We start from the raw sequence: 23,503 nt of genomic DNA, 5'->3' as shown, positions 1-23,503 counted from the left end.
CTCCACTGCCTGAGGACTCCTGAGGTTCCACCATTTTTTTCCATTCTCCACCTCCACCTCTGGTCTATGGGCTTGGGTACCTCACATATCTACCAAGGCCGTGGCCATGGGGCCATCAGAACCTTTCTGGAGGGCTAGTTGGGGTGGAATGTGGCAGCTGGAAGACTCAGACTCCAGACTCTGCACTTCCAGGTGCCCCTTGGGCAAGTTCAGGTCTTGGCAGCTTCCTGATTTTTCTACTTTGGTCCAGCTAAACATGAGTATGCCCTTTACCTTACCACACCTATGCCCTGGGGCTGGAAGCCTTGGTCTTCCCTCCCCTCAACACCTCTGCCATCATACCCTGCTCCTGGTCTCCTTACCTCTCTCCCGTGGTAGGCTTGGAAGCATTTAAAGGTGCTCTAGAATGTCATCGTCAGCTCCTGAGCTAACTGGGAGAGGTGGTGAGCCCTCTGTTCTGAGGAATATGCAAGCAGAGGGGAACCAATCCGAGCCAGAAAGGCTGCAGAAGGGGCTCTTACCCTGGTGGAGATTGGAAGCACTTGGGCATTTCCAAGCCCTAAGGCCCAACTTATCACAATACCCAAGAAAGTTTTGAAAAAATGTCCTATCTTGTATATTTTCCAGAAGCCCAATCTATGCATCTTCAATGCCTGTCTTTCTTCCAAGATTGCATCCTGCCTACTTTCTTTTGCCTTGAGAATATCCCTCTGTTTACAGAAACAATAACGACGGTAGCTGTTGTTTTCCATATCTCTACTTGGCAAAATAAGAGCTTACCTTACAAGTCAGTTTTTAAGTTTTGAAGAAATTTCACGGTTTGTTGTAGTCAGCATTTCCCAAAACCCCTGGATAGAGACCCTTGAATGGAGCAGATCTTTGCCAGGCCCAAGGCTCATTTGAATCAGCTTATTCATCCATTCATCCATCCATTCTCCCTCCTTTCATCCCTCCCTCCCTCCCTCCCTCCCTCCATCCATCCATCATGTAATTTTCAGGTGCTAACTGTGCCGACCTGTGATAAGTAACAGAGGCCCAGCCTTGCCACTGGGATGGAGTGGGGAATGGGAACTTGGCAGGGAGGTGCTGATGAGCCTGTGGGACAACCAGGTGCTGTGAGGTCAGGGCTAGGGGGTGGTGGGGCACAAGGGAGAAGATGCCTCAGCTCTTTGTTGGAGTATCTGGGATCCTGAGATTCTGAGTGTCCCCAAACCTCTGGATGTCCATACCTGTTTTCACCTCTGGGGCCTGCAGCTGGAGGTGGGGAAGCTCATGGCAGTGACCTCTCATCCATAGCTGCAGCACAAGGTGTGGGATGGTGGCTGCTGTGGCAGGAAGGCAAATGTTCAATGGCTTCTAGCCCCGGGAAAGGTGGATGGATCTTGAGGCTGAGGGATGAGAGGGGAAGCAAGGTTTCCCTCTGTATGGCCCAGGCTCAGTGGGGGGCCCTGGGCTGGGAGCTCTGGGAGGGTGACATGGCCGGATCCCAAGCTCTAGGCTGGGACAGCTCTATTGCTGGAAAGGGGCCTGCTCTGAGGGCTGACTCAGGCTCTGTGCAGTCCGTCTTCAAGAGGGGGCCTTTCTCATAGTGATGGAGTCCTTGGGGTGTTTCACAGAGTAGAGCTGGACGTATGGGAGGGCTCTCGGCTCCCAGGCTTGCAGTGGACTCCAAGAACCCTCCAGGGCCACATTACAGAGTCACCTTTACCCTCCTGGGCACTCGAGAATGCTACCATCAAGCCCCAGGCCTGAGTGGGCATGCCCAGTGATAGGGTGAGTGTGGGCAAGACAGCCTGAGTGCTGACAGGGACAGGGACATCCAGACTCAGTTTCCAGGCCCCCGGGTTGCCTGCCCCACTTGGACCCCTCCCCCATTTTCTCCTGGGGCCAAAGTCCCTCCTCCAACCTCTTTTCCAGGGCAAGTCTGACTAAGCTGCTGCTTGCTTAAATGCAACAGGGATCTTAGCCCTTGCTAAGGAAGCTCTGCATGGGCAGCTCTCAGATGTAGGGGAGAAATCTGTCTAGGGCCTCCCCGTTTCTCTGAAATTGAGTCTCCAGAACTGTTTCTCCCCTGGCTGGCCCCTTGGTGGTTCACTAGGCTGACCCTGGCCCTGCTATTTTCTAGGGATGGGCCTTGCCCTCTGTAAGGCCACTGACTCAGTGAGGGCTCAGTTTGCCAGGGGCCTGAGCAGGGCAGGGACTTTGATAATTCTTCTAGCACCTGCTCCAGTGGGGGAGGCAGGGGTTGTGTTTGTGTTATGAAGGGACCACTGTGGTCACCTGTGTGGAGGGTGGAACAGAGTGGGTGCAGAGAGGCAAGAAGACAGTGTTATGGGAGGGTGACTGCGGCACTTAGGGGAGGATAAGTTCAGGTGCAGACTGTTGGGGAAGAGCCCTGCAGGTCTCCCTGGGGTGCTACCCTATCCATCTCTGGCCTTAATTCTCCTCCTGTGCCGGGCTGGAGGTGTTGGAGACTCTGGTGTTCTGAGCCCTAGAGAGGCCCCTTCTGGACTCTGAGCTTCGGGCTGGGGGCGGTTGGGGGAGGCGACAGCTGCTTTGAAATGTGGAGAATAATAAAGTGAGGAATGTCTGAGCTCAGGGGAAAAAAAAAACCCTGCTCGCCAGGCCTCCCACCCAGCCGAGCATAATGAATTAAGTATAGGCAGGCACGTTTCATGTGGGGGTGTGGGTTGGGGGAAGCAAGAAGGCCCCAAATGAGAAACAGGGTCCTGGGCAGGCTGCCGGGAGCTGGGGGTTCTGGGCATCTGACCCGACCCCTGGGGATGCCCTCACTCCCCAGAAGCTTCCCCTCCACCTTCCCTTGGTCTGTATGGGTGAATGGGTGAAATGTGTCCCAACCCTATGTTGACATCTGACCTCAGGCTGCACGCTGGTGCTAACCCTGTCCCCAAAAGGCCAGAAATAGGAGAAGGTGTGGTTGACTCGGAGGGATCATCTCTTCATTCTCACCCTTCTACATGCATTTATTGAACACCGATGGCATGCCTTCTCCATGCTGGATGATGGAGTCAACGCTGCCCCCTGTTGGACTGACTGAACCTGCAGTCCTGCCCATCAGCCTCTGGGGAGCAAGCCCTGAGGCTTTGGAATGCGTCCTGCTTCCAGTCTCCCAGCCCTCCACTTCCTCTGGCCAGTTCCTCACATATCCCCTCTGCTCCATGTGAGGTCATCCTCCCTTCCCACCCTTCTGTCCTTGGCACCAGCTCAGCCTCCCTGCCCCAATCTCCCTGGGGCTTGGACATCAGTGGCTTCCAGGCCCATGCTTTCAGGTTGTTACTCATGCTGTTTCCTTTTGCTTATCTGCCTGGTGGACCTCATTCATTGAACGCCAAGACTGCTTTATAAAAGACCACACCGGCCAGGCGCGGTGGCTCATGCCTGTAATCTCAGCACTTTGGGAGGCCGAGGCAGGCAGATCACTTGAGGTCAGGAGTTCAAGACCAGCCTGGCCAACAATGCAAAACCCTGTCTCTACTAAAAATAGAAAAATTAGCTGGACGTGGTGGTGCGTGCCTGTAATCCCAGCTATGCAGGAGGCTGAGGCAGGAGAATTGCTTGAACCCCAGAGGCGGATGTTGCGGTGAGCTGAGATCAAGACACTGCACTCCAGCCTAGGTGACAGGGTGAGTGAGACTCCATCTCCAAAAAAAAAAAAAAGACCTCCCCTTCCCAGAGTGGCCCAGGGAATAGTAGGTAAGTAACTGAGCCATCAGCGAAAGGGCAAATTCTCAGCCAGGGAGCCGGAGAGTGGTGGAGGCAGGTAGTAGGGCTGTTCCTTGGGCTCTCCAGCAGGGATTCTTGCCTCCCAGCCTCTGCCGGGTTGGGGCAAGACTCCCACTTTATTTTTAAGAAGTCTGGCCTGGAACTTGGAGCTCCTTGAAATATTCTCCCCTACAGTCCCTTCTCTCCCCCACCCACTTTAATGAAAACCATTGTTTTTCAAGCACATGTTAATTAAAAAGCAAACATGCTTTGCTAAGTAATTTGGAAGCTCTGGTTCTGCAAACCATAGCCATTCCAGTTAAATAACATCCCTCACCCAGCTTGCCCCAGTGTTTTGGGAGCTGAAGACCCCCGTGGGTACTGCAGATGCACTTTACAGTTTAGGCACCCTGTGGTGGAGTGGTCAGGATAGGGTGTCCTCTCTATCTCACAGGTGGGGACATGGAGGACCCAAGCTCCTGGCAAGTTCAGCCCCACCAGCCCTCTGCAATCCTGTGCTTTGGGCCCAGGGGAAATAGCTGGTAAGGAGGGGTGAAAGACTCATGTGTGCCATCCTGCAGGCAAGGTCACTGTCTCAGAGCCATGGCCCAGCTGTAGGGTGAAGGGAGGAGGATGGGAGCATGACAGCCCTGTGAGCCCAGGCGGGAAGGCTGGCAGGTGCTGCATGGCCTGGGCTACCTCCCATAGTTCCCAGTGCAGCTGGGTGACATCTACCCGAAGCTGGGATAGTAGGTCCCTGAGGCGAGTGCCCAAGGTGAGGACTGGCCTGATGGGTGGAGGGAACCTTGGATGCTCCGAAGCACCCACTCCAGCCCAGCTCCCCCCCCGGTGTCTGGTGATCAATATCACTACAGTGCCCATATCCCCACCTTGGCTCCGGTCCTTGGGAGTGCTGGGGTTCTGAGGCCCTTCACACAGGGCGGTACCCTCAGGGCCCATCACAAGGTGCTGGGGCCGCTAAGGTTCAAGGTTCAGTGACCTCCAGCCTTCCTGTTCCCAGCCCCTGGCAGAGGGAAGGGGCATCTCACCAAGAAGCCTTTTCAAGCCTTGCCACTGCCTCACAGCCTGCTGGTGGGCTCTCCCAACTAGGATTCCAAGAGCAGGAGTGCTTTCCTTGGGTGTGCTTCCAGGTGTGAGCCTGTGTCCAGGTATGTGTTCCTGTTTCCGTGTGGGCTGTGAGTGTCTCTGTTAGCCAATACCCTGGTGTGAGGGGTTCCTTTCTCCTTCCTGAAGGAGAAGATGCCTGGGCTCCTTGGGGGGAGTGTGAGGGGGGCAGTGACCAGGAAAAGTATGTGTGTGTCTGGGGAGGTGGGCCCTGGGCCCTGCCAGACACCTGGGCTGGTTGGTCCAGAGCTTCTGCATCCACTCAGGGACACAGGCCCCGGGTGGGAGCCAAGCCCCAGTTTGTGCACTGGCCAGCCCTCCTTGTCCTCTGCCCTCAGCTGCTGATTTTTGTAAAACGAGGAGTGTGTGTTGGGAGGTGTGCAACTTATCACACGCACAGTGTTTTCCCTTCGGGACACACACACCCTCGCAAGCCACCACACACGGTGACACCAGCGACGCATGCTGGTGGCCGGCTCCCAGGGCTCAGCCTCCCTCGGCGACGCGCCAGTGATACACACTCCCGCCTCTCCCACTCCCACCCACATCCCGGGAGGAGCGGCCGCTCCTCTGTGCTCCTCCGGCCCGGCCCTCGGCGCGGCGTTTCTGTGTTCTGTTCCCTTCACAGCCGCGTGGAAACCGCAGCGGGGCGGGCCGGGATGAGCTCACGCCGCCGCCCGCCAGGCCGCCAACCCTAACTCGCTCCAGATGCAGGGCGGCCTGTGCTGGCGCGGAGAGTGGCGGGGTGGGCCGGGGCCTGGGCCGGGGCCGGGGGAGGCATGGCCCACTCGCGCCCCCTGCAGGGGAGGCCTCCGCAGATCTCCTGGAGGCGGGGGCTGCAGGCTCTGGGCACAGGGGCGCGGGTGGCGGCTGCCTACCCCGGAAGAGGAGGGACTTATCGCCATGAGCCTGCTTTTTCTCAGGCCTTGCCCACTGCCTGAGATTTGTCCCCGGGCCGGGGTGGGGGGTGCAGCTGTGGAGGTCACAGTCCACAACCCCTCCCTGGTCGGCGCAGCCTCGAGGTGTTGTGGGACCATCCCCTCCCGGGCCGGTGCCCGCCCCTCACACAGGCTGCCTTTGCTAGCCCCCACCCGCGACTGCCGGACTGGGGCTGTCCCCTCCACTTCCTCTCCCCGCAGCTCCCGGGACACCCTGACCAGGTACTGCAGCTCAAGCCTCCCGCCTCAGGGCCCTGGCCAGGCCCTGCCCACTCTTGTTCCTTTTGGAACAAACACTCCAGTTTCTACTGGGAAAGCAGCGGGGGCCTGACCACCGCCTGTTTTTAATAAGGAGCTGGTATTTCCCCGAAATCGCCAGCTGTGGCTGACCTCATGGGGATGACGGCTGGCCCTGGGCCAGGGGGCAGGAGCCGGCTCCCGTGTGAGCCCCTGGCCTGCAGACAGACGCGCAGGGAGGAGGCGCTGGCTTCTCGTCCCATCTCAGCCGTTGGCTCATCCAAAACTCTGTCTATCTGTTTGACTGCTGTGTTGTGTACCCTGGGTCGATACCCTGCCAGCCCCCGCACCCCAGCCCTGCCCAGGGCCCTGGGTTCAAGCCCCGCTTTACTCCTGCCTCGTGTGATCTTGGCAAATTGCTTAACCTCTCGCCACTCATTTCCTCCACTGTAGGGTTGAGACTGTTGTGGGGATTAGAGAGGGAACACTGTGGGGAGGGTCGGTGGATTCCAGGAACGTTTCTAGACGGCAGGGGGAGGGGGGTCTCAGGAGCTGAGGCGCCAGAGATCAGGCCCTGGGCTTCCTGGGTGGGGCATTGTGGGAGGAGGGGGAGCTTGGGAAATTGTCAGCCTTGGGGGAGACAGGGACAGCACAGAGGTTCCAGCAGAATGAGAGTGCTTCGTAAGGGATCAGCACGGTGGGGGGTCGGGGGGAGGCTGTGGGCACCAAAAGGTTGGGGAGGGTGTCAGCAAAGGCTTTCTAGAGGATGGGCGCTTAGGTGGAATGTGGCGGCGTTGGTGGGGTGGGGGGTCTCAGGGTGGGAGCAGAATCCTAAGGCAACAGCCTGGACGCTGGAACAAGTGAAGGGGTGGAATGGGGGGAACAGAATGGAGGAGAGTAGAAGCAGGCAGTCGGGTTCAGGATATCTTAGGGGGACTCTGCCTGAGGCACTGTGGAGAGTCCAGAAGTCCCATCTGTAATTGAGGGACAAAGATTGAGGGAACCAGAGGGGGACACAGGCTCCAGTAGCAGAGAGGGAGACCAGCAGCCCCAGAAGGAGCAGGGAAACCAGGAGAGGAGATGCAGTAGACAGGGAGGCAGGCGGCTGGATACAGATAGTGGCTGGGAGATTTTGCTTGCTCTGGTGCCTGCACCTTTCAGATGCTTGAGGCTCCTCGTGAAGGTAACAACTATAACTACAATAAGGAATAAGGGTGACTAATATTTATTGAGCACTTAGTGTGTGCTAGGCAGTGCACTAAGCACTTACAGGTATCAATGTGTTCTATCTCCACTTCATTTCTATTTATTTATTTCTTTATTTTTCCTAACTGCTAGGCTATATAGGATCTATTTATTTATTAATTCACTCACTGATTCATTCATTCATTTAACAGATGTTTATCGAGTGCCAGACATGTTTCAGGTGCTGGGAATACAGCAATAAGCAAGACAGACAAAAAAATCTGCCCACATAAAGTTTACAAGAGGAAGAATTTATGAAAGAGGAAGATACCCAATGTATTAGGTTGGTGCAAAAGTAATTGCGATTTTCACCATTGAAAGTAGTCGTAAAAATCTTTGCCCCAGAAAACGTAATATGTGTGAGAAAAATACATAGTATGTTAGACTGTGCGAAGTACTATGGGAAAAATTAAAGGAGGATAAGGAGGATTTGGAAGGATGGGGGACACAGTTTTTGAGGGTGTCCTAGGAAGGCCTCATTGAGGAGGCAATATTTGAGTATAGACCACATCTGGCCGCCTCTTGTTAGCCCATGAGCTGAGAATGGTTGTTACAGAACATTTGCAGCTGGGTCTGGTGGCTTATGCCTGTAATCTCAATACTTTGGGAGGCTGAGGCAGGAAGATTGCTTGAGCCTAGGAGTTCGAGATCAGCCTGGGCAACATAGCAAAACCCCACCTCTACAAAAATTAAATAAATAAATAAATAAATAAATAAATAAATAAATAAATAAATAAAATTAGCCAGGTAGGGCCAGTTCCTCCTGGATGCCAAGAGGAGGATTTGTTTCCTTGATTTTTATAGATTCTAGAGGTCACCAGCATTCCTTAGCTTCTGGTCCCCTTCTTCCATCTTCAAAGCCGCAATGTTACATCTCTCTGACCCTTTGGTAGTCCTATCTCCCTGTGAAACATTCTCCACTTTTGGGTACTCATGTGATTAGACTGGGCTTTTCCAGATAATCCAGGATAATATCCCCATTTCAAGGTCCTGAACCTGAATCACATCTATAAATTTCCTTTTACAACGTAAAGTAACATATTCACAGATTTTGGGTACACGAACACGTATCTGTTTGAATCCCTGCTTTCACTTCTTTTGGGTATATACCTAGAAGCAGAATTACTGGATGATATGGTAATTCTATGTTTAACTTTTTGAGGAATTGTCATACTGTTTTCCACAGTCACTGCACCATTTGACATTCCTACCAGCAAGGCACGACATTCCAATTTCTTCATGTCCTCTCCAATACATGTTATTTTCTGTTCTGCTCGTTTCTTTTTAATTAACCATCTTGGTGGGTATGAAGTGTTATCTCACTTTAGTTTTAATTTGCATTACCCTAATGATTGAGTGTCTCAATGTTGAGCATCTTTTCATGTGCTTACTGGCCATTATTTATATTCTTTGGAGAAGAGGTTTATTTACAAATTTATTTGCCCATTTAAAATAGAATTGTCCTTTTGTTTTTGAGTTGTAGGAGTTCTTTATATATTCTGGATATTAATCCCTTATCAGGTATATGATTTGAAAATATTTTCTCCCATTCTGTGGGGTATCTTTTTACTCTCTTGATAGTGTCCTTCATAGCACAAAGGCTACCAATTTTTATTAAGTCCAGTTTGTCTACTTTTTTCTTTTGTGGCAGTGCTTTTGGTGTCATATCCAAGAAATCATTGCCAAATCCAATATCATGAAGATATTCTCCTATGTTTTCTTCTAAGAGTTTTATAGTTTAACTCGTACATGGGGCTTTTGATACATTTTGGGTTAATTTTTGTATATGATGTAAGGTAAAGTTCTACCTTTATTCTTTTGCTTGTGGATATCCATTTTTCCCAGAACTATTTTTTGGAAAGACTGTCCTTTCTCCATTGAATGCTCTTGGCATCCTTGTTGAAAATCATTTGACCATATATGAGAGGGTTTATTTCTGGGTTCTCTATTCCATTGGTCTGTATGTCTGTCATTATGCCAATACCATGCTGTTTTAATTAATATAGCTTTATAGTAAATTTTCAAATCAGAAAGTGTGAGTCTTCCAATTTTGTTCTCTTTTTCAAGATTGTTTTAGCTATTTGGGGTGCTTCAGATTCCAAATGAATTTTAGGACGGTTTTTCTATATCTGCCAAAAAAAGTCATTGGGGTTTTGATAGGGATTGAATTGAGTTAATTTGGATAATTATTGTCACCTTAATAATATTAAGTCTTCCAATCCACGAATATGGAATATCTTTCCATTTATTTAAGTATTCTTTAATTTCATCAAGCAGTGTTGTACAGTTTTCAGTATGCAGGTATTTCACATCTTTGGTTAAATTTATTCCCAAGTGTTTTATTCTTTTTGATGCTATTGTAAATGGGATTGTTTTCTTAATTTCCTTTTTGATCATTCACAGTTATAGAAATGCAACTAATTTTTATAAGTTGATTTTGTATCCTTCAACTTTTCTGAATTTGTTTATTATCTCTAACAGGCTTTTGTGGGAGTTTTAGGGTGGAGTCTTTGGGGTTTTCTAAATATAGGATCATGGCACCTGCAAACAGAGATAATTTTACTTCTTCTTTTCCAATTTGGATGCCTTTTGTTTCTTTTTCTTGTCTAATTGCTCTGGCCAGAACTTCCAATACAATGTTGAATAGAAGTGGTGAAAGTAAGCATCCTTGTCTTGTTCCTGATCTTGAGAGAAAAGCTTTTAGTCTTAAATCATTGAGCATGATGTTAGATGGTGGTTTTTCGTATGTGGTCTTTATTACATTGGAGAAGTTTCCTTCTATTCCTAGTTTATTGAGTGTTTTTATCGTGAGAGGGTGTTGAATTTTGTCAAATGCTTTTCTGTATCAATTGAGATCATCAAGTGATTTTTTCCCCTTCATTATATTAATGTGGCATATTACATTGATTGATTTTTGTATATTGAATCATCCTTGCTTTTGGGGAATAAATTCCACTTGATTAGCTGGGCATGGTGGCCCATGCCTGCAACCCCAGCACTTTGGGAGGCCAAGGCAGGAGGATCACTTGAGTCCAGGAATTCAAGACCAGCCTGGACAATACAGTGAGAGCCCATCTCTAGTTTCATTAAAAGAAAAATTCCACTTGCCATTGGGTATAATCCTTTTAATATGCTGCTAAATTCATTTTGCTAGTATGTGACTGAGGAGTTTTGCATCAATGTTCATAAGGAATATGCACCTGTAGTTTTTTCTTATAATGTATTTGTCTAGCTTTAGTAATAGACTAGTGCTGGCCTTATAGAATGAGTTAGGAAATGTTTCCCCCTCTTGAATTGTTTGAAAGAGTTTGAGAAGAGTTGGTATTAATTCTTTAAATGTTTGATAGAATTCACCAGTGAAGCCATCTGATCCACAGTTTTTCTTTGTTGGGAGATTTTTGATTACTAATTCAGTCTCCTTACTAGTTATAGGTCTACTCAGATTTTCTATTTTTTCAAGGTTCAATCTTGGTAGATTGTGTATTTCTAGGAATTCGTCCATTTCTTTTAGGTTATTCAGTTTATTGGTGTACAGTGTTCATAGTATTCTATTTTAATTCTTTTTATTTCTGTAAAATCAGTAGTAATGTCTCACTTTCATCATCTTCATTTTAAAAACATGGACTTGCTGGATATAACATTCTGGATTGAACATTTTTCTTTCAGTCCTTCAAGTAAGTTGTCACACTATCTTCAGCCCTCCATTTTATTCTGGTAAAAACTCAGGTATAATCTTATTATGGTTCCCTTGTATGTGATGAGTCATTTTTCTCTTACTGCTGTCAACATGTTCTCTTTATCTTTGGCTTCCAACATTTTGACTCTGATGTGTGGGTATAGGTCTCTTTGAGTTTATTCTACTTGGAGTTCATTAAGCTTGTTCGATGTGTAGCTTAATGTTTTTCATAAAATCTGGGAAGTTTCTAGCCATTATTTCTTCAAATATTTTTCTGTTCCTTTCTCTCTCCTTCTGGTACTGCCATTATGTTTATGTTTGTGTGCTTAATGGTGTTCCACATTTCTCTGAGGCTCTATTCATTTTCTCCTTTCTTCCTTCCTTTCTCCCTCCTTCCCTCCCTCCCTTCCTTCTTTCCTTCCTTCCTTCCGTCCTTCCTCCCTCCCTTCCTCCCTCCCTTCCTTCCTTCCTTCTTTCTTTCTCAGAGACAGGGCCTTGCTCTGTCACCCAGGCTGGAGTGTAGGGGCATGATCATAGCTCACTGTAACCTTAAACTCCTGGGCTTCAGTGATACTCCCTCCTCAGCCTCCAGAGCACCTAGGACTACAGACATATGCCGCCATACTTGGCTAATTAAAAAAATTTTTTTTTGTGGCTGGGCACGGCAGCTCACGCCTGTAATCCCAGCACTTTGTGAGGCCGAGGCAGGCAGATCACGAGGTCAGGAGATTGAGACCATCCTGGCTAACACAGTGAAACCCCGTCTCTACTAAAAATACAAAAAAATTAGCTGGGCATGGTGGCGGGCACCAGTAGTCCCAGCTACTCGGGAGGCTGAGGCAGGAGAATGGCATGAACCCGGGAGGCGGAGTTTGCAGTGAGCTGAGATCATGCCATTGCACTTCAGCCTGGGCAACAGAGCGAGACTCCGTCTAAAAAAAAAAAAAATTTTTTTTTTTTAAAAGATAAGGTATTGCTATGTTGCCCAGGCTTGTCTGAAACTCCTGGTCTCAAGCAATCCTCCTGCCTCAGCCTCCCAAAGTGTTGGGGTTGCACGCATGAGCCATCATGCTCAGCCTCTGTTCATCTTTCTACATTGAGGTTTTGTTTTTGTTTCTTCATATTGTAAAATCTCTGATGACTTATCTTCAAGTTTACTGATCCAAATCAAATCCACTGTTGAGGCCATCTCATGAATTTTTCATTTTAGTTATTGTGCTTCTTCACTTGATTCCATTTGGTTCTTTTAAATATTGTCTATTTTATAAATCACCATTATTATACCTTCCTTTAATTTTAAAACATGCTTTTCTTTAGTCCTTTGAAGATACTTCAAATAGTCATTTTGAAGTCTTTGTCTACTATGCCAAAGATAGGGGGCCCTTCAAAGATAATTTCTATTACCTTGCTTTTTTCTCCTGTGAAGTGACCAAACTTTCCTGTTTCTTTGCCTGTTCTGTAATTTTTCCATTTCGAAGAAGACATCTTAGATGATATACTGTAGCAAGCCCAGGCACTGATTCCTGCCTTTTGCTGGCCCCAACCTGTTTTGTTGTTTGTTTGGTCTTTTGTTTGTTTAGTGACTTGGGTGAGATAATTATGTGAAGCCATTTTCCCTCTCAATTTTCATGCATCACTTATTTGTTGGTGGTTGTAGGTAAGCTCCTTTAGTCAGTTTTACTTCCACTATTTACCACTGGATGTGTGTGTGGCTGGGAGACTGCTTCACAGTTTAGAGAATTTACTATTTCCCCCCATGTTCAGCCAGAGAGGCAGAGGCTGCAGTGAGCTAAGATTGCACCACTGCACTCCAACCTGGGCAACAGATGGAGACCCTGTCTTAAAAAAGTAAAAATAAAAAATAAAAAAAGAAAAGATGAAGTGCACAAAATATCATTACAGCTCACCATTAACAGAAAATGTGCAATTGATTTTGACAATAGAGAACACTAACTTGAACCCCAATAAGTAAAATGTTATACTCCCCTCAAAACAATTTTATTCCTCTCATTAGTAGATCTGAATCAGCGAATATTGTATGCAATTAGTATTATGACAATAATTTTGTGGGAAAATTGTCTTGTTGCTATATAAGAACCTACATAATATCCTCAGTTTTGCCTCATGGTCTGCAAATCCTAAAATGTTTCCTATCTGGCCCTTTGCAGAAAACGTTTGTTGACCTATGAACTAGAGTCTACAGATATATCCATCATAGTGTTTTCAACTCCCCGTGTAATAGTTCCAAAATCCATGTCACAGCTGAGTCTGGTTTTGTTGATTGGTTTGTCTCTTGATAGTGTGTTATTTTTTGTTTCATTATGTGTCTCATAATTTTTGGTTGAAAGCTAAAGCCTTCTTGTGAAGGCTAGTGGAGACTTGGGTAAACACTATTTATGTGCAAAAATGGACATGCCTTTTCTTTAAGGAGGAGGCATTGAGACAACTCTGTCAGGTTTTGTTGTTAGTATGGTTACTCTCAAAAAGTACATAATTCAAATTCTTCCAGTATTATTTTTTTGCTTAGTGGCTGGTTTGTTGGAGAGTTTTTCTCAGTGTCTGTTCAAATCACAGTTATTGGTCTTTTCTTTGTGCCTACGTCTAAGAGAGGATATCTTTCTGTGCTTTTACCCTCACTCTTCCAGCAGTAGACTGCTGTTACTTGTTCCTGGACACTTGCTATCCTGGTACTGGGGGGCTTTCTTTATTGTTCTGGCTCAGCCTCACTCTTAGGCAAGTGCTATGTTCTTGGCTGTTAGTCATGGGGCCTTCTAAGTGACCTTGCCCCTCTCCCAGAATAGATAGTCTTTAAAAGTTTGGAGCAGGACAGTTTGCTACTCTTCCCCGAGAAATAGAGGGTATTTAATGTTATCTTCACCCAGCTATAACAGGCTTTTACCTGTGCCCTGGAAGTGACATTTTTATGCCCCCTCTCCACCCCGGTGGCATAGGGCTGGTGTATTTTGTGTGTGTGTGTGTGTGTGTGTGGTAGTGGTAGTGTTAGTGGTGGTGGTGGGGTTGCTGGGAATCAGAGTAGAGGATCCAGGCCAGATGTCATGACTTTCCCACAGTGGCTTTTGCTCACCTCCCCAAAGACTGCACTGCGGGCAAGGCTTTCTTTGGTCTCTTGCCCTTCCTCTAATCTTTCTCTTGAAGACCTGGTGGAAATTTGTGGAGAAGGGCCTGTGAGTAGATGCAAATTTGCTTCACGTTTGCAGCTCCCACAAATTCTAAAGTCTTACTCTAGGCCACACTCTGCCTTTCACAGTTCATTAAAAGATAACAGGCTGCCACAATAGATGTTATTGTGGAAATGAAAGATATAAGGACTGTGGGGAGGACTGGTTACTTATTACTACACGAAAATTTTAAAGAAGGCAAATGGCAATATTGAATTTTAGTTTCTTGGATTAAAAGCTTCTATGATTTCCTGAAATAATTTCATATTCCTTGTCACTGCAGGATTGATGTAGTTGAAAATAAAATGTAGTATCTCATCTTTTGGGCTGCTGAATTTCAACATAAATGGAATTAACAGCTTCATTATAATTCTTACATAAAAGTCAGGGCATTGATTGGGAAAGAGTGAGACCATGAAAATTTCAATGAGGCATATTTGGATAGATTTAGGACATCTGACCCCCAGCCACACTGAACCTCCCTTGCTAACAGAAGCAGTGCATCTTCTGTTTTGACAAGGGTGGTCTTCTCTACCCTAGAGCTACTGTATTGACTTCAACTGAGGAAGTTACATGGTAAGGGCATGCCAGTTCCATACCTACCTCTAGTAGGTCTAAAGGTCTACTGCCTCTAGACCCGTACCACCCCAGCAAATCTTTACTGCCTCTACACCTAATAAGTACAGTCAGATCCCAGCAAACTCTAGAAGGACAGATACAAAGTATAACCCAGGGGGAGAAGGCTTCCTTACAAAAAGAACTGCAAGATTTTGCTAACTTTCATGGGAAAGAACATGGGAGATATGTACAGGACTGGATTCTACAGACTCTTGATTAGAGAGGCTTGGGCCTAAATTTACCAAGAGTACATTTACCAGAAATTCTGAATTCAGTTTGCTGGTGTCCATTTGTAGATACCAAACAGGCAGGTGAAAGTGACTCTACATCAAGCTAGTCCAACCTGCGGCCCATGGGCCACATACAGCCCAGGACGGCTTTAAATGTGGCCCAACAAAAACTTATAAACTTTATTAAGACATTAATTTTTTGTGATTTTTTTTAAAGCTCATCAGCTATCATAAGTGTTAACATATTTTGTGTGTGGTCCAAGACAATTCTTCTTCCAGTGTGGCCCAGGAAAGCCAAAAGATTGGACACCCTTGCTTTACATGTTTACTTGTTTATTTTTATTTTTGAGGCAGAGTCCTGCTCTGTCATCCAGGCTGCAGTGCAGTGGTGCGATCATGGCTCACTGCAGCCTGGAACCCTCGGGCTTAAGGGATCCTCCCACCTCAGCCTCCTGAGTAACTAGGACTACAGGCACAGCCTACCATGTCCAACTAATCTTTTTATATTTTGTAGGTACAGGATTTCTCCATGTTGCCCAGGCTGGATATGAACTCGTGACTCATGGGCTCAAGCAATCCTCCTGCCTTGGCCTCTCAAAGTGCTGGGATTACAGGTGTGAGCCACCGCACCTGGCTGCCACTTGGTTGTTTTAAACCTGAACTCAGTGGTGGCCCACACTTGACTACCAAGTGTGATATGTCAGAAATTCCTTGTTTGTGGGCGGCAAGCCACCCAGGTGCCCAGGCAAGAGACTGAAGGCACAAGCTGTTCCAGTATAATAAAGAAAATAATTAAATTAAGAAAAGTTATACTAGAAATAAGATATAGGTATGATTATTATTAATCATTAGTTTGTAGTATTACTTTGTTCTATTATTATAATAATCTCTGTTTTATAATTATAACCTAGAAAAAACCAGGCCATACAGAATTAGGAGCTGAAGGGACACTGTGAGAGATGACTAGAAGACAAGAGCGTGAGCCCTCTGTCATGCCCAGATAAGGGCTTCTTGAGAGATCCTTGGTCTAGTGGTAGCGCCAGTGCCTGGGAAGGCACCCGTTGCTTAGCAGACCTTGGTCTAGCAGTAGTGCCAGTGCCTGGGAAGGCACCTGTTACTTAGCAGACTGGGAAAGGGAGTCTCCCTTTCTCTGGAAGAGTTAGAGAACACTCTGCTCCACCAGCTCTTGTGGGAGGCCAGGCCTGCCTGCAGTCATCCGGAGGCTTAAACATCTCCCTGTGGTGCTGTGCTTCAGTGGTCATGCTCCTTGTCCACTTTCATATTCTGCCTGTACGCCTGGCTCCTCCTTTTAAGTTCTTAGAAGATAGCAGTAGCAAAATTAGTGAAAGTATTAAAGTCTTTGATCTTTCTGATAAGTGCATAGAAGAAATGCTGATGTATGCTGCCTTTCCTCTCTCCCTCGGCTACCTGTCGGGTGGACACGTGACTTGCGTGACCTTATCAATCATTTGAGATGACTCATACTCCTTACCCTGCCCCCTTGCCTAGAATACAATAAATAGCAGCGTGTCCAGGCATTCAGGGCCACTACCGGTCTCCGCGTCTTGGTGGTAGTGGTACCCTGGGCCCAGCTGTCTGTCTCTCTCTTTGTCTTGTGTCTTTATTTCTACGATCTCTTGTCTCCGCACACGAGGAGAAAAACCCACAGGCCTGGTAGGGCTGGTCCTTACACTTGTTCAATGTAGAGACAGAGTTAGAGAGAGGCAAATATTGGGATGGATTCATGATGTGTGACCTGCTCGCCCACTCCTCTGAGCTCCAAGAGGGCCATAGAGAATGCCCCCTTCACCAAGACTTAGAACAATAAATTGGTGAGGAGAGCACTGGCATCCGTGGAAAACACTGTCATGGCTGTCCACTTTTGGACAGGAAAAAGTGGAACATACAGCAATTCAAAAGTTGTTATTGTTGTTGTTTTTCCTCCAACTTCAACAAAGATGAAGCCAGGAGAGGCAGAGGCTTGGTAGTAGCTCTTGGGCAGCAGACAAAAGGATGAGCTACCAGAACAGACAGATTAGACATTAGGGACACAGAGCTAATAAGAGTGGATTGACCTGCGGGCTGTTTAAAAGATGTCCCTGCGACTGAAACAGAAGAGCAGCCCACTCCTCTGTCTAGCCTGCTTAATCTGTAAAGCCCTCCTACCCCGATATCTAGGTCTGGTGAATGAAGCCCTGATTTGAGGACGCTATGGAGAATGAGGGCTCCTCCATGAATTCCCAGAAGGCCCATCCTGACCAGCTCCAGGCCAGGTACCATGCCTACAAGGTCAGGGGCAGCATCGCACCAGCCTCCTAAGTGCCGACCCTAAAGCGGGAGTTCTCCATCAGGGGCAGTTTCCTCAGAAGTACCCTAATCCCTTGGCCCTGGGCAGGGTTCTGGCTGGACATAGTCTGGAGTGAGGATCTGAGTGAAACCGCGAGGGCGACATTTCCCATTCAGACAAGGAATCTAGCAGGACCGGGGTCCAACAAGTCGGCTCGGCCATTTCCACCCCCTAGGCACCGGCCCTGCCCCCTCGTCCCTCGCAGGCGCCCTGGTTCCAGCCAACCCCTGGCAGGGGCGCGAGCTGTCTGGAGAGGGGCAGCCGGTATCCATGACATGTCCTCTGGCGGCGGCTCCCGGGGCCTCCTGGCGTGGCTTCTGCTCCTTCAGCCCTGGCCCGGGCAGAACTGGGCGGGCATGGCGGCGCCACGCCTCCCGTCCCCTCTCCTCTCAGAGGAGGGCGGCGAGAACCCCGAAGCGAGCCCGGCTCCAGGACCTGAAGCGGGCCCCCCACTCAATCTGTTTACGTCCTTTCCAGGTGACTCACTGCGTGGGAGGCCCGGAGGCGGAGGTTGGGGCGCCAGGCTGGGGCAGGTGCTACCTGGGAGCCTGCGGTCCGCGGCCCGGGGAATCTGAAGCGTGGCTCGGGAGCCCCGGGGGACATGGCCTCCTTCTTGGCTGTCGTCGGGGCGCCCGGGGGAGTCAACTCCTGTGTCTTTGAGTGAGTTCTTCATCCTACACTATCCTCACCCCAGTGTGTGGCCGAACCCCTCTGAGAATCGTGGGAGGAGTGGACGCGGAGGAAGGGAGGTGGCCCTGGCAGGTGAGCGTGAGGACCAAAGGCAGGCACATCTGCGGCGGCACCCTGGTCACCGCCACGTGGGTGCTGACGGCAGGCCACTGCATTTCCAGGTGAGGAGCGGCACGCGGGGCTGGGGGCCGGCCCCCTCAAGCACACACAGTTCCATTGCCCCGGCAATTTGGCGACAAAGAAACAAAACTCACAGTGAAGCCGGAGTGCATCGGTCGTCTTGCTGTAGGCATGTCTAAGTCGGGCAGACAAACCAAGTTTGAGAGTGATCAAGGAAGGGTTTTTGGTGATGGCGATGGGGTGGTAGGGACAGTGGCCCGGGAGGTTGAGGCCAGTTTCAGAAACATTGGAAATGTATGGAAAAGGCACAAAGGATGTTTCCCAGGCCTTCTCTTAGAGGCATCTCTTCCACAGCCGTTTCCATTACAGTGTCAAGATGGGAGATCGGAGTGTCTATAATGAAAACACAAGTGTGGTGGTCTCAGTCCAAAGAGCTTTTGTCCACCCTAAGTTCTCAACAGTTACAACCATTCGAAATGACCTTGCCCTTCTCCAGCTCCAACATCCTGTGAATTTTACCTCAAACATCCAGCCTATCTGCATCCCTCAGGAGAATTTCCAGGTGGAAGGTAGGACCAGGTGCTGGGTGACCGGATGGGGCAAAACACCAGAACGTGGTGAGACTTCAAGGCAGGAAGCAAACTTGGGGCAGAGAGGAGGCACCCTTACTCCTGGAGTAGACATGAAGGCCACAGAAAGGGGCAGGGAGGCAAACTGCCTGGTGAGTGGCAGGTGGTGAGGGGCACGCAGTTTAGCAGCAGTCAGGGTCATGGTTCCTGGTTGGCTTGGGTGACATCAGAAACTGGGTTGAGTTCTTTTGTTGCAACACAAATATTTGATGGCAGCCATTTAGGAAGACTTCTGTCCTGGAACTGGAGTTGCTCAGCCAGGAGAAGAAGAAACACATGGGCAACATCTCCTTCTGTGGATTCGTGGGGGCACTGTGCTTGACTGGTTTGGGGGATTTTTAGGTTCCCTGGACAGAGCAAGATGCTATAAAGTTCTCCCCAGGAACAGCTCAGAGGGTGATGAGCTGTCTGCCAGTCAGAGCTGCTCCTCATTCGAAGCACCTGCTTTGGTGGATAGGGTATTTTCTGTTCCTGGGGATGTAGAGAGAACCAGAAGACTCCTATGGGTCGGGTGTATGCCCTCCTATCCCTGGGGAGAAGCTGGATTTGGTACTTCTGGGGCATTTTCTGCCTGAGAGTCTGTGATCCTGCTCTAGACAGTAAAGATGCTTTACTGATGCACAGGACACACTCTCACTATTACTACTGATACTTACAGTGACGATACTTGGTTGTCATTTCTCAGGTTGGCAAGGCCTTGCCTCTCCCTCTCCTGAAATATTCTTCCTGTTCCTGTCTTGGTTTTGTTTCTTACGTCCTCCTCTCTCCATGTCAACTTTGGGCCTTCTGTGTCAAATGAGAATAATACTCACTGCCTTGGCCTTTTTCCAGAGGGATGCTGGGTGCTTAGGGGCCTATTGTCCACTTGTGCAGATCTGATGATCTTCTTTGATAGGAGAGAAACTTGCATCAGAAATTCTTCAGGATGTGGACCAATACATCATGTGCTATGAGGAATGTAATAAGATAATACAGAAGGCCTTGTCATCTACTAAGGATGTAATAATAAAAGGGATGGTCTGTGGCTATAAAGAACAAGGAAAGGATTCTTGTCAAGTAAATTCATGGATCCTTTCCCCATTCTCAGATGGCAGAGTCTGGGTTATTTGCTGCTTCCTCTATTCACACCTAGTTGAGTTAAAGAGATTCATAGAGGGAAACCTGCCATGGCTGCCCTAACTTGGCCTGGTCTGTTCTTTCAAAAGGGAGATTGCACTGCCTGGGGGCACTGCTGGCATGTGGGAAAGTTGGGGTGGGTAATGCTAATAACATATGCTGTACTAATTGAGGTTCTCCTATGTGACGCTCACCATGCCAGTGTGGACATTAACCCTCATTATCTCAGTTAAACCACACCACAACCCCGCAACATAAACATCACACCCCTTGGATGAATGTGAAAGGTGATATCCAAGGACATTACTTCAGGATCCTCCTGTGAGTACCAACTCCCAGACCCATGCTCTTCCCTCGGCACCAAGCTGCCTTCCTGAGGAGGAGGCATTAGAGCTGGGTCTTAGAGAATGAGTATTTGGATTTCTTGGAAAGAGGAAAACAGCATTGTAAGAAGAGGGAATAGCATGTACAGTGGCTCAGAGGTCTGAGGGAACTTCTCATGTTAAGGGACACTTTACACATTTGGAGAAATGAGGCAGCAAATGTGGCTGAGAAGTGGGTTGGAGTCAGAATGTGTATGGCTTGGAGTGCGGTGCCAAGTTTCTAGATTTTGCTCTGGCAGGACTTGGGAGGGAGGCTTGGTGAGCATAATTAGATTTGCCTTTTAGATAAATGACTCCCTGAGCTGTGTGGTGCATAGATAGAAGTCTAAATGCTTGTTTTCATCACCTAGGCTGTGATAAATGGAGTCCTGAGCAGTGCCTGGGGCAGGGAGGCCGGTGAAGGTGTTTTTGAGTTTGACCCATTCATTCTTGTTGACTGACTGCATGTAGGGGTGGGGGTGAGGGAGAGGTTCAGGAGGACCCTGTTTTTCTGACTGAGATGATTGGTCAGCAGAGGAGGTTTGGGAAAGGACACGCAGAATTCTGCTTGAGTTGGAGGGTGTGGGGCTGTCTGAGAGTGGAACTGAAAATATGGAGGGAGCTGGCTATGTAGGTTAGGAGTTGTAGAGAAACTTCAGGCTAAATATGAGGATTTAGTGGGCTGCCATGCAGAGGTTCAAGACGTTTAACAGCCACTATAGTTTGGAAAATGAGAAGCCATCATTTTCTCAGAGCATATTAAAGTTTTCCCATTAACTTTTTAGTTCCCATGCTCACATATTCAGTTGTCATATTCACAGAAATCTGGGTGGTGGGGCCTTTGAGGTGCCAGAGGAAGCCCTATGTGTGCCTGTCTCCTCAACACCTTGTAGTACAGTCAGTCTGCTCTGATATAGATCCTATTCAATTTCTGAAGTTCGTTTCTTTCTCTTTCTCTAGGGAGATTCTGGGGGCCGCTTGGCCTGTGAATATAATGACACATGGGTCCAGGTAGGGATTGTGAGCTGGGGCATCGGCTGTGGTCGCTGAGGGTTGCCTGGAGTTTATACAGAAATTGGTGTCTACAGTAAGTGGCTGATTGCAGTGGTGGATCAGGCTACCTGTTTGTATCCAGCAGTGTTCCTCATCTTAGTCCTGCATTTGGTGCTGCCCCTGGGCATCCTGGTGGCCCAGTGATCACCCCAGCCCACTCCCCTTTTGTTTCTGAGTCTCATACTAGGCCTCTCCTCCAACCTCCCACTCCTTCTCAATGCCGTTTCTGAAAATCCCAGTTGGAATCCACGGGCCCTCTGGAGATCCATACAATAGAGCACAGCAGGGAGACTGGGGCCTGGAAAGTGCCCCTGCCTGGTGCTCTGGTCACCTGCCTCAGCCATGCCTGCACCAGGGCTGTGCTCTGGCTAGTGGGAAGGAGGGGGTGAACTAATTCCAGCTAGAGGACCAGCCTCCCTGCCAGGTGGGCCACAGTGACTCATCAGTATCTGGGGGAACATCTATCAAAGAAGAGACATCATCAACAGTGAAGCAAGTGTTAGATGTGGTTCTGGTTTCAGGGCTCCCACCTAAGACTTTGTGAAACCAGCCAGCTGGGTGATTGCTCAGCGTGAAGGAGGCGTTACCAGGTCCCTGCAGAGGTGTGAGGCCTGGGACTTCCACTCTAGGCTCAGTTGTCTGGGGCTGGGAGAAGTTCCCCTGCAGCCCAGTGTGGATCCATCTGTGAGTGGACAGCCTCTGCCACACTAACTCTCTTGGGGCTACCCATTCTTGGCACCCCCTTCCTCAGTGCCCTAGTGGCCACTTTCAGAGACACTACAAGTTGTATTGAGGCAGTTATGGAGTGCAGAGTTTTCAGAAATCAACTAAATAAATGTTTGGAGAGTCTCCTATGTTCTCCATGTCTACTGGCCTGGTTATTGGGGACACTGAAGACAACTTACCTCACATTAAGCTTAGGAAGATGTTGATGATTCTTTTTAAACTAAAGAGTGAGAGAGGAAGTCTCTGCCTGCCCAGTTGTGAGTTGGATGGATGGTTTTAGACAGTTGGGTTTTGCTGCCTATGCTCTCCATGGCCATCAGCATTTCCGCATGGAGCTTTGTAGCTGAGTTTGCTAGTCATTGCATCTGGGAAGGAGGAAGCGAGAGAAACTGGAAGCAAGAGAGTGGTCAGGGCACTACACCCCAAACTGCAACCTCCATTTTCTGCCTATTTCTGCCCCTCCTTCTCCAAGCCTTGAGCACCAGATCACTTTAATCAGGCTCTATGGAAAACACAGGGCTGAGGGTTAGGGAGATGACAGGTTGGGGTGCTTACTGATTCTGGCTCATTTCCCTCATTACCCTATGGGTCCCAGGGTAGTTCTTTGATATGATGCAGAGCCCATTATTGCTTCCAGTTTCCTTCTTTGTTTATGAAACATTGAAGTTGCCTCCTTTTAGGAGAGGATTAGTGTGTTTTGCCTATGGAAAGAAGGTGCATGTGAATATTTACTTGAATAAAGATTGGTAGAGGCTGGACAGTGGCTCACACCTGTAATCCCAGCACTTTGGGAGGCTGAGGAAGGCAGATTTCTTGAGCCCAGGAGTTCGAGACCAGCCCAGACAACATGGTGAAATCCCGTCTTTTCACTAAAAATACAAAAATTAGCTGGACATGTTGGTGCATGCCTGTAGTCCAAGCTACTCAGGAGGCTGAGGTGGGAGGATTGCTTGAACCTGGGAGGTCGAGGTTGCAGTGAGCCGAGATTGTGCTGCTGCATGCCAGTCTGGGCAACAAAGTAAGACTCTGTTTAAAAAAAAAAAGGGTAGAGACTGGCGGCTAGCTACCGTTCTGATTACTATCAGATTAGGTTTGCATGTTATTGAACCTCATATAAATGGAGCCATATAGCAAATGCTCTTTTGTGTCTGGCTTCTTACCCTCCACATATTTTTTCCACACATTGTTTTTGAGATTCATCCATATTGGACCTAGAATTAACCGATGCAGATAACTATTGGATTTCAAGACCTACTATAAAGGTATGGTAATTAAGACAGAGTTGTATTGGCATAAGGTGTTGTGCTGGAGCCCTGTTGATTCTAATAGGGATGGCACTGTATCCACGAGGCTGAAGAAAAGAGCTGGAGGCAGTGAATGAGACATAGGGTTTATTGGGGGGACTTATATACAGGGGTGGTCCAGTGGCAGTAGGCTGGACAGGAGAACTGCTACTGTTTGTAAGAAACATGCATTTTCACCTAGCACC

General features: G+C 48.3%; 1 pseudogene across 2 annotated transcripts, besides 5 other annotated features; it reads left to right on the top strand.

The window, feature by feature from the left end:
• Window positions 2,169–2,996: an enhancer, noted in NCBI's record as "H3K4me1 hESC enhancer chr3:46890183-46891010 (GRCh37/hg19 assembly coordinates)". NCBI's record gives its function as "activates a minimal SCP1, AML or CMV promoter by ChIP-STARR-seq in naive and primed H9 embryonic stem cells {active_cell/tissue: H9 hESC(naive and primed)}" and the evidence as "EXISTENCE:reporter gene assay evidence [ECO:0000049][PMID:30033119]".
• Window positions 4,697–5,430: an enhancer, noted in NCBI's record as "H3K27ac-H3K4me1 hESC enhancer chr3:46887749-46888482 (GRCh37/hg19 assembly coordinates)". NCBI's record gives its function as "activates a minimal SCP1, AML or CMV promoter by ChIP-STARR-seq in naive H9 embryonic stem cells {active_cell/tissue: H9 hESC(naive)}" and the evidence as "EXISTENCE:reporter gene assay evidence [ECO:0000049][PMID:30033119]".
• Window positions 5,523–5,802: a silencer, noted in NCBI's record as "silent region_14296". NCBI's record gives its function as "represses an Ori minimal core promoter by ATAC-STARR-seq in GM12878 lymphoblastoid cells {active_cell/tissue: GM12878}" and the evidence as "EXISTENCE:reporter gene assay evidence [ECO:0000049][PMID:35858748]".
• Window positions 5,853–5,952: a silencer, noted in NCBI's record as "silent region_14295". NCBI's record gives its function as "represses an Ori minimal core promoter by ATAC-STARR-seq in GM12878 lymphoblastoid cells {active_cell/tissue: GM12878}" and the evidence as "EXISTENCE:reporter gene assay evidence [ECO:0000049][PMID:35858748]".
• Window positions 17,594–22,147, top strand: PRSS42P (serine protease 42, pseudogene; annotated as a pseudogene). 2 transcript variants are annotated; one of them, NR_160554.1, is made up of 5 exons: window positions 17,594–17,807; window positions 18,013–18,169; window positions 18,483–18,742; window positions 19,653–19,813; window positions 21,196–22,147. The product of NR_160554.1 is annotated as a serine protease 42, pseudogene, transcript variant 1 (transcript). The 2 variants fall into 2 exon arrangements; NR_148409.1 differs by lacking the exons at window positions 17,594–17,807; window positions 18,013–18,169; window positions 19,653–19,813 and adding an exon at window positions 17,866–17,978 and having other exon boundaries at window positions 18,483–18,697; window positions 21,196–22,146.
• Window positions 21,503–21,632: an enhancer, noted in NCBI's record as "active region_19799". NCBI's record gives its function as "activates an Ori minimal core promoter by ATAC-STARR-seq in GM12878 lymphoblastoid cells {active_cell/tissue: GM12878}" and the evidence as "EXISTENCE:reporter gene assay evidence [ECO:0000049][PMID:35858748]".
• Window positions 22,148–23,503: the final 1,356 nt, after the last annotated feature.

The sequence above is a fragment of the Homo sapiens genome, chromosome 3, assembly GCF_000001405.40.
Source record: "Homo sapiens chromosome 3, GRCh38.p14 Primary Assembly".
Lineage (NCBI taxonomy): Eukaryota > Metazoa > Chordata > Mammalia > Primates > Hominidae > Homo > Homo sapiens.
The sequence above is the reverse complement of the archived record's forward strand: the minus strand, read 5'-3'. Positions and strand labels throughout refer to the sequence as shown.